A 10424-nucleotide genomic window follows, 5' to 3' on the forward strand; every position below is an offset into this window, starting at 1 on the left:
ACTAACACTAATATAATTAAGAAGAATATTAATAAGTTATGCTTATACTATAATTTCATAAGCAGTATGTATGCATATGCAAAAGAACTAGAAGGGGATTCAAACAAAATCAATTTGGTTGTTTGGAGGAGGTGGGATTGGGTGAAATACTTTTGCTTCTAGTTTAACTTCTGTAAATGTTGTTTGTGATTAAAATCATAATTTTAGGCCAGGCATGGTGGCTCATGCCTGTAATCCCTGCACTTTGGGAGACTGAGGAGGGCAGATCACCTGAGGTGAGGAGTTTGAGACCAGCCTGGCAAACATGGTGAAACCCCATGTCTACTGAAAAAAAAAAAAAAAAAAAAAAAAAAAATTAGCCAGGCGTGGTGGTGTGCACCTGTAATCTCAGCTACTCGGGAGGCTGAGGCAGGAGAATCACTTGAACCTGGGAGGCGGAGGTTGCAGTGAACTGAGATCATGCCATTGCACTCCAGCCTGGGTGACAGAGCGAAACCCTGTCTCAAATAAAAAAATAAATAAAAAGAAGGAAAGAAATCACATTTTCGGCCTCATCATAGGAGTTCTTCTCCTAGATGATCTGTGGTGGCTGTGGGATCCTTGGCACTTTGCCTGAGTCCTAAGGAATTCTGTTAGTCTTCATGGGGTCCTGGGCCCAGTGAACACAACTGAAAGTGGAATTGCCTGAGTGTGGAATTGAATTAAGAGGTACTGCATCTTTGTTTAACAGGTAGGGCACGTGAGGGTCATATCAAATTGGCATAATTCCCATTTTTTCCCCTGCCCACCTTCTATTTGCCCTTCTTCTGGGATCTGTAAATCCTCTTCTGCAGGACCACCTCCCCTGCTTCTCAATGTGTTCCCAGTGGATTTGAGTTGGAGCAAAGGATGGCTTAAGTCAATCAGTGTATCTCTCAAGAGCTATGAAAAGTCTGAGATGTTACCCTCCTTGCAAGATAACAATTTGGCCTGCCACCATTTCAGGGATGCTGACAGATGTTGTAAGACTCACTGACAGAGACAAACACACAAAATGTAGCATAGCAAAAGTAGGAGCCAAAACGTTAGTATATTTGTGCTAGTTCCTCAAGCTCCAATTCCACTGGCTGACACAGAGGATCAGATGGCATCTGCTCATACCGTGGGATGTGTTGCAGGAGGGAACTCAGGGTTGAGGACTCAGTGCATTTTGAGCAAGCAGAGAATATTTCAGCCAGCAATAAATAAGGCAGTCTCCCCTCCTCCCCAACCCCCACACCATGCAGGCTGCAGTCCAGTTGTTGCCTTGATCTGCTCAATTGCCTATGTGAGGAGCTACAGAGCTCCTCAGTATCAAGAGGGGGATAGGACCTGCAGTCTGGCACACCCAGCAGGTGCTTGCAAGGTGCTCAGGGCCACACGTTTTCAACAGTATCACATGTGACTCAATCAGAACTACTGAGATAAAATGAAACCTTTTGCTTCAGGTGAGGGCATCTTATTTCCCTGAATGAGAATCTAGACGATTCATGTTGTGACCAACAGAGAAAAGCCTGTGCAAGAATGGAGTCAACCCAAAGAAAGCAGAATTGAGAAATGGAGAGAGCAGGAAAATGGATTCAGTGTCATCATCTGAACCACTGTATGAAGCCAGGGGTAAAACTAAGCCACCCACCTCCAGAATATCCACTTATGGGAGGTAGTTTGTCACTTGTCACCAATAGAGTCTCACTGAACACAAATATCAATGTAAACCAGTAATAGTCAAGGTTCTCCAGGGAAACAGAACCAATAGGATTTGTATATGTCTCTGTCCATATCTATATCTATAGATAAACAGAGATAGATTTGTCATAAGAAATCAGTTCACATGATTGTGGAGGCTGACAAGATGTGCATTCGGCAAGCTGGAGACCCAGGAGAGCTGATGGTGTAGTTCCAGTCTGAGTCTGAAGGCCTGAGAACCAGGAGGGCTGATCATGTAGTTCCAGTCTGAAGGCCAGCAGCCCCAAGACAGAGGAAGAGCTGATGTTCCCATTTGAGTCTCAAGGCAGGAAAATACTGATGTCGCAGCTCAAGACAGTTAGGCAGGAGGAAATTCTCTCTTACCCAAGGGAGAATCAGCCTTTCTGTTTCATCAGATTTTCAACAGCTTGTACAAAGCCCACCCACATTATGAGGGCAATATACTGTACTTAGTCTACCCATTCAGATGTTAATCTCATCCAGAAACAACCTCACAGACACACCCAGAATAATGTTAGCCCAAATGTCTGCACATCTTGTGACCCAGTCAAGTTGACACATAAAAATAACCATCACAAAAATTTTGCTATTAAATTACAGTCATCAAATGTTATGAATGTGCTTAAGTCTTTTTCTTGGTGAGTGTTTCAAGTCCCTAACTGATTCAACTCTGCAATATTTATTCTTTCAGACTCTTGTAAAAGTTGGGCTCTTTGATGAATCATCTGTGGATTCATTTCATCCAAGTTCTAATCAGTGGTTTTAAGAACTCAGCTGTATTTTCATAGTTGTGTTGTTCCTTGGACCTAATCTAATATGCTGGGTAAATCTTTCCCCTCTGTTATATGTGCTATTCCCCATACGCAGCTCTCCTCTTCCTAAAATAAAGATAGGGGAAAGAGACGGGGGGGGGGGGGGGGGGAGAGAGAGAGAGAGAGAGAGAGAGAGAGAGAGAGAGAGAGAGAGAGAGAGAGTATTTCAAGATAAAAATTTGTTTGCATTTTCTCATGCTATTTTAAATTCACAGTCCTATTCATTTGATATTCATTTTACTTGCCTGGCTTTCATCATAATGATTACCCATTTAATTACATTTTAGCTGAAACCTAGGGGAAATAGCCAGCTAGTATTTCAGTGAGATTATCAGAGGAAAAACTGAGCCTCACTTCCTGGCTTTTCTGAATCATTATATTTCTCTGTGTTAACTTTACAGGCAGCCTTTAATAAAAAGGCAACAATGTTGGTAATTAACCCTCTAATAGTGTCAGGAATATTAAAAAATGACTTGATTTTATTTCAGTTCCATATTAAGCCTTTATATTATACATAGCTCATCTAAAAAGTTTTCCCTCTTTAAGAATTTCCTTCTCATGGAGGTCCATAGTCCATCTGCCAGGGAACAAATCAGTCAGGAAGGAAAGCACAGGAATGAATCCTGTGGAGTGGAAACTCCTTGGCTCTCCAGAAGATGCTTCTGCCCTGTTGATGAAGTACTGGGTGGACACATACGCTCTCCCTCACTCTTCATTGCAAGGGAGAGATCTATGAGAATGGTTTGATTATGGCTCAGCCGAGTGCCCTCTTCGCTCTCTCTTTCTGCCAGCAAGCAGAGAAGGTCTCTTCCCTACTTCTTCCTCTACCTGGTTAAGCTCACCAGAGAGGTTTTCCACCTGAGTTCTCTACTGTTCAATTTCTGACTGGCTGGTTGGTCAGGGAGAATAGGAAGCTCTGGTCCAGGCTTGAATCAAGCTGCATTCTCTAACCCACCAGCTTTACCTTAAACAAAGCTGATATTGTATTACATCTACATCTGGCTTCTTCTGTCTGTTTTGGATTGGCTCAGAATCTAGAAGAGAAGATGGGTATGATCACCTCTTTTTAAACCCCCAAACACACACCAAGGATTTGAGAGAAGTGGCCAAGTAAGTAGGCTCCTGTAAAACATGATACCAAGTTCCCAAGAAAATACGTGCTTGGAAGATGACAGCTGTATGGAGTTTGGGATCCCTTTTTCTCTTCCATCCCATCGAACACATAAAGTAGTTCTGGCTGCAAGGTATTATGGACAGCACAAATTTGAAATACTTTAGTCATAAGATAGACCTTGAAGTTTCCCTTTAGCTCTAGCCTCTGTGGTACAACAGAGGCTACAATGAGTAAGCAAAAACACACAGTGCCTGTTTGCAAAGTAAATTACTTTCACTATTTGTTACTATCAACCTTATGAATACGGTACCCATTAATGCAAAAAACTAAAAATAATTTATTAAGAGATATAAAATAATACTTGAATAAATAAACATGTTAATGGAAACACTCAATTTTATAGGTATGTTAATTATTTCCAATTAACTTATTGTTTTAATGCAGTTCAAATAAAAATCTCAATGAATTATTTTGGAAACTTCTTTTTACCCTCAACATTTTATTATGCTTTTTTTTTTTTTTGAGACACAGTTTCACTCTTGTCCCCCAGGTTGGAGTGCAATGGCATGATCTCGGCTCACTGCAACCTCTGTTTCCAGGGTTCAAACGATTCTCCTGCCTCGGCTGGATTACAAACATCTCAGTAGCTGGGATTACAAGCATGAGCCACCATGCCCGGCTAATTTTCTTTTTTCTTTTTTCTATATTTAGTAGAGACAGGGTTTCACCATGTTTGCCTGGCTGGTTTCGAACTCCTGACCTCAGGTGATCCACCCGCCTCGGCCTCCCAAAGTGTTGGGATTACAGGCATGAGCCACCGCACTCGGCCATGAAAAGTTTTTCAACAAACAGAAAAGTTGGAAAAAATAATACAATGAACACCAATGTATCCACCACAACAATTGTTCATAGTTGTCTGTTCATGCATATATGTGTTTCTGTGTGTATGATTATATGTACCTATGTATGTACATATATATCCACTATACATATAACAATATACATAAATACCATATATATAATTATTTATTGTGTTTTTCTGCATTGTTGCTGAATCATATGAAACTGAGTTGCAGACAGCATTACACTTTACCATTAAATACTTCAATATGCATCTCCTCAAAATAAGGATATTTTCCCGCAGAACTACAATAACGTGATTATGTCTAAGTAAACTAACAATAGCCATCTCATATTTATTCTGTATTTACATTTCTTGTTTTTAGAGTGTCATTTATTACTCTTTTTCCCCTTAAATCAGAACCTAATCAAGGGTGACAAGTTATATTTAGTTACTATCTCTCTTTAGCCTCTTTTCTTTTCTTCCTTTTCTTTTTTTTCTTTTTTTTTTTTTGAGACGGAGTTTCCCTCTGTTGCCCAGACTGGAGTGAAATGACGCGATCTTGGCTCACTGCAACCTCCGCCTCCCGGGTTCAAGCAATTCTCCTGCCTCAGCCTCCACAGTAGCTAGGATTATGGGTGCCTGCTACCATGCCTGGCTAATTTTTGTATTTTTTAGTAGAGATGAGATTTCACCATGTTGGCCAGGCTGGTCTCAAACTCCTGACCTCAAGTGACCTGCACACCTCTACCTCCCAAAGTGCTGGGATTACAGGCGTGAGCCACCGCGCCCAGCCTAGCCTCTTTTCTTATAAAGCAGTCCTTCTACCTTATTTTTCAGGTCTTTGGCTTTTTGAAAATAATTTTGTTATTATATATTTTTTTAATTTAAAAAATAATTTCAGTCTTTTGAAATGATCAGGCCAATCCTTTGTTCCCTATCCTGGTTGTGTTTGATGAGCTCTTCATAGTGTACTTTTAACTTGCTCTTCTAGTCTCTATCTCCTAAAAAGGCTTGATTAGGTTTGGGTTAAACATCTTTGTCAAGAACACTTCCCAGATCATATTTTATATTGTATATTTTATATTGTATGGCTTGCAGAGGCATATGATTCAGGCTGCCCTACAATTTGCTAGATGGTTAAGATGGTGATAGCCATATCTCTTCGTTGTGAAGATGTGGGGTTTTCCCCTTTAAAATTAGCTAATTTTCTGGGAAGAGGAGAGAACAAACTTATCTTCAAGGATATTTGGAAGAATCAGCAGATAAAGATATCAAAGAAAATTTAGGAAAAAAGAGTAATGAAGAGTGATGACTCCTATCAGATATTAAACTGCGTTTAAAACAATCGGATAGTAGAGCAAAGATTGACCCCTTAATGGGTAAGTCACCCACAAATAGCCTCTGTTGATGTGGTTTTGGTGACAGGACACCCACCAACGGGCTGGCACTTACCTTAAACAGTCAGCAGACCCTGGAGGTTTTAGCTGATTCTCAGCTCCCCTTGGTCGCCTTTGGTAAGTCATGTGACCACATACACACCAAACTAGCAGGCATACCTCCACAGAGAGCTGTGACTGTATCATAGACAATGCTTTTGTTGACTTTATTTCATAGTTTAGAATTATATCTGAACAGGGCTAAGCGCAGTGGCTCATGCCTGTAATCCCAGCACTTTGGGAGGCTGAGATGGGAGGATCCTTTGAGCCCAGGAGTTTGAGACAAGCCTGGGCAAAATGGAGAGACCCTGTCTTTACAAAAAATACAAAAACTATCTGGGTGTGGTGGCACGTGCCTAAGGTCCCAGCTACTTGGGAGGCTCAGGTGGGAGAATCTCTTGGGCCGGGGAGGCCGAGGCTGCAGTGAGAGGCGATCTGATAACACCACTGCACTCCAGGTTGGGCAATAGAGCAAGAATCCTGTCTCAAAAAAAAAAAAAAAAAAAAAAAAGAAGTATATCAGAACCAAGTCTTTTTCCACAGTGGCCTATTCACAGACATATCAGAAAAGGATAGACAATGCTTGCAATTCAAGATAGAGAAGAAAAACAAACTTAAACACTATCCTGGAGGACAGTCTTCCTATTCAGGAATGTGTGTCAGTGGCCAGCCTCAAAATTAGGAGAAGAAAACTCCCTGATGGTACCCTGAGTGAGGGTCATGAGAGAATGAAAGGAGAGAATCCAGTGTGGGCCCAGGCAAACTGTGGATCAGGGATGAAAGGTGGGCCACAGTGAAAGCAGGGCCTGCGGCACAGGTTGTGGGGGACATCTTAGAAAGACAGCAATTGTGTGATGGCGTTCTCAGTTTCTCCTGGGTCTACAGCTCTGTGTTTCTTTCTGGCCTTCTCCAAATGTAAAACTAATGAAAAAATGCTACCTTTATTCCTCCCACCCTACTCCTGAAACTGTGCCAGTCTCTGCATAAGAACAGATGGTGTTCCTGAAGAGTTCTTTGCTCTGCAATATTCCTTCGCGGGTTTCTGAAAGCAGATTTGAGAACAGGAGTGAATGGAAGCTACATTTCTCTGTCTGACAGATGTGGTACACATGTGTGAGTTGGAGATGCACTCCTTGGTAATGGCTATATGGGAACAGTGAGAACATGACATATAACCAGGTGCATTTAAATGGGGCTATTGGATGAGCTACCTTGTAAAGATTCTCTCAGTGGGGTCCCTCCTAATTCTAGAGCTCTTCTACTAGGACGGAGGAGCTAATTCAGTTGGATTGATCTATGTGGTAGATTATTCTCTGCTGATCTAACCAAAAAGAGCCTCCTCTCCCTAGTTTCTAGGAATGAAGAGAGAACTTTGATTACCATAATGCTGGCATGGGTAGTCATGTAAAATTGTTGACACCGTCCAGTGCTCACTTCCCTACACTCCTTCCTGGAGTTCAGCACAGACAATGGGAAAGAGACCCGGTGAAGGTACTGGATAACTCAAAAATATGGCCTACATTTTTGAACTGTTCTTAAGGAAAGAAAGCATGTTCCCCAACTCTTGGATAATCTAGTTTAGATCATCAAATACCCCAGATAATGGCTCACCTCTCTTCATTTTTTTCTTGGAAGTCACAAGCTCTAATGAGTCTCTTTAATTATTTCTTGGTGAGGGCAGCATCCAATTTCTATTTAACAAGAACAGGCATCCAAATTAGATACAGTGCTGTTCACTTATATCAGTGTATCATCAAGATTCATATTTCCAGTGATTGCCCAACAACACTTTAATGTTACGCTAAGGATAAAACAATGATGTAATCATTGAAATCACTGAAATCTTCAGAGAGCAATGGAGAAGTTTTCTGAATTGAAACTTCTCCATGATTACCTCAGTTGACTGCCTTGATTTTCATTCTCCTGCAGTTACATTTCTGCAGCATACATTTTGAGTCCAGACTTCACCCTGGCATAAAAAACTTCCACTGTGGGTATAGAGTTTTTCCATAGTTAAAAAAATTCCTTTAAAACATATGTATAGCCATATGCTATTGACATTTTTGATAAAAGCAACACTGTGCTTAAAGCATAAAATCTAAATAATAAAAAGCTATTCTAGTAACAATAACTAATGCTCCTCAAGGGCTTACTCTTCATTGGTATGGGGATGATATTACAAATATTTAACAAACAATATGGTATGGGCACTGGCCAATTAGAATTGTCACCAGCCTTAGCTCCAATAGGACAGCTGAGATCCTCTGCTGTGCCAGGGATAACCCTTTAGTTGCTGGCCCTGAGGAAGCAGGAGGAATCTAGGGGGAGGGGCTGGGCAGATGGCATAAATGCCTGTGTGGAGAATATGTTCTGGGTGGCTATTTACTAACTGACATGGAAGTATTCCACATTTGAACAGACATATTGGATATACCTGCGGAATATCGGTGCTGCCAGGCCCTGAGCTAGAGCCCTCATTCCCACAGTGCTGCCAGGCAAGATCCTGCTGTAGGGGCCAAGGGAAAACTCCATTGCTCTCTGAAGATTTCTGAAACTCACTGATAAGAGGCAGATTAATAGGAGAAAAGGCATACACATTTACTAACATGTACATAACAGCCTTCAGAATGAAGATCCAAAGAGACAGCGGAAGTTGTTCATTTTTAGGCTTAGCTTTAACAAAGTATAGACAGCCGTGTGGAAATATGATTGGACAAAAGGGTATGATCTAATGCTAATAGACTGAGTGGGGAAACCCAGCAAGGCCTGTCTGCCTGGATTCTTCCTGGCCTCTCTGAGCAGCATTCCTTCCTTCTGGGTATGGGGCAGGACCCTCTTTGGAGTGGGAGTCTAATGACCTACTGTCAAAATAAGGGAGACCAGATATTTCTTTCTTTCTTTTCTTTCTCTCTTTCTTTCTTTCTTTCTTTCTTTCTTTCTTTCTTTCTTTCTTTCTTTCTTTCCTTCCTTCATTCCCTCCCTCCCTCCCTCTCGTCTCTCTTCCTCTTTCTTTCTTTCTTTCTCTTTCTTTCTTTCTTTCTCTTTCTTTCTTTCCTTCTTTCTTTCTTTCTCTCTCTCTCTTTCTCTTTCTTTCTTTCTTTCTTTCTTTCTTTCTTTCTTTCTTTCTTTCTTTCTTTCTCTCTTTCTTTCTTTTTCTTTCTTTCCTGCCTTCCTGCCTTCTTTCTTTCCTTTCTTTCTCTCCTGCCTTTCTTTCTCTCTCTCTCTCTCCCTCCCTTCCCCACTTCGCTCTTTCTCTCTTTTTTTCTTCTTGATACAGAATCTCACTCTGTTGTCCAGGCTGGAGTGCAGTGGTGCAACCTTGACTCACAGCATCCTCTGTCTCCTGGGTTCAAGCAGTTCTCATGCCTCAGCCTCCCAAGCAGCTGGAACTACAAGTGCATGCCTGGCTAATTTTTTGTATTTTTAGTAGACATGGGGTTTCGCCATGTTGGCCAGGCTTGTCTCGAACTCTGGTCTCATGTGATCCGCCTGCCTCGGCCTCCCAAAGTGCTGGGATTACAGGGGTAGCCACCATGGTAGGCCCAGATATTTCTTTATGGCCAATTTTTACACAGAAAGGCAGAGAGAGGGGAAGTTCGAGTAATATTTTTAGGTTTTATGGCTGGCTTTGAGGAAAAGAGATTCTGGTTTCTATGGCCTGCTTTGGGGAAGAAAGATTTGAGTTTCTATGGCTGGCCTCAGGGGAGAATGGGACTGAGAGATAGGAGGGCAGGAGAGGTCAGAGGACAACTTTTGTTTCTGAGGCCTTCATTTGGGGGTATTTTTTTCCCGAGTCCCAACTCTGCATTTATGTTCATTTTGTAGATAAGAAAATTAAGAGGCCAAGCGCGGTGGCTCACGCCTGTAATCCCAGCACTTTGGGAGGCCAAGGCAGGTGGATCACGAGGTCAGGAGATCAAGACCATCCTGGCTAACATGGTGAAACCCCATCTCTACTAAAAATACAAAGAATTAGCCGGGCGTGGTGGCAGGCACCTGTAGTCCCAGCTACTCAGGAGGCCGAGGCAGGAGAATCGCTTAAACCCGGGAGGCGGAGGTTACAGTGAGCCAAGATTGTGCCACTGCACTCCAGCCTGGGTGACAGAGAGAGACTCCATCTCAAAAAAAAAAAAAAAGAAAAGAAAAAAGAAAAGTAAGGCTTAGAGAACTTAAAGATCTTGCTCTAGATCATACAGCCAGTAATGGAAATAATGAATTAACAAAATTAATTTATGACTTTTGAAGAAAAGTTTTAGATTTACAGAAAAATTGAGTGGAGGGTGGCCAGGCGCGTTGGCTCATGTCTGTAATCCCAGCACTTTGGGAGGCCGAGGCGGGTGGATCACGAGGTCAGGAGATTGAGACCATCCTGGCTAACATGGTGAAACCCCATCTCTACTAAAAATGCAAAAAAATAATTAGCCAGGCCTGGTGGTATGTGCCTGTAATCCCAGCTACTCAGGAGGCTGAAGCAGGAGAATGGCGTGAACCCA

At 42.0% G+C, this 10424-nt stretch overlaps 1 annotated feature.

Annotated features, from left to right (window-relative positions):
- Positions 1296 to 1435: a silencer, noted in NCBI's record as "silent region_5321". NCBI's record gives its function as "represses an Ori minimal core promoter by ATAC-STARR-seq in GM12878 lymphoblastoid cells {active_cell/tissue: GM12878}" and the evidence as "EXISTENCE:reporter gene assay evidence [ECO:0000049][PMID:35858748]".

Source organism: Homo sapiens, chromosome 13, assembly GCF_000001405.40.
Source record: "Homo sapiens chromosome 13, GRCh38.p14 Primary Assembly".
NCBI lineage: Eukaryota > Metazoa > Chordata > Mammalia > Primates > Hominidae > Homo > Homo sapiens.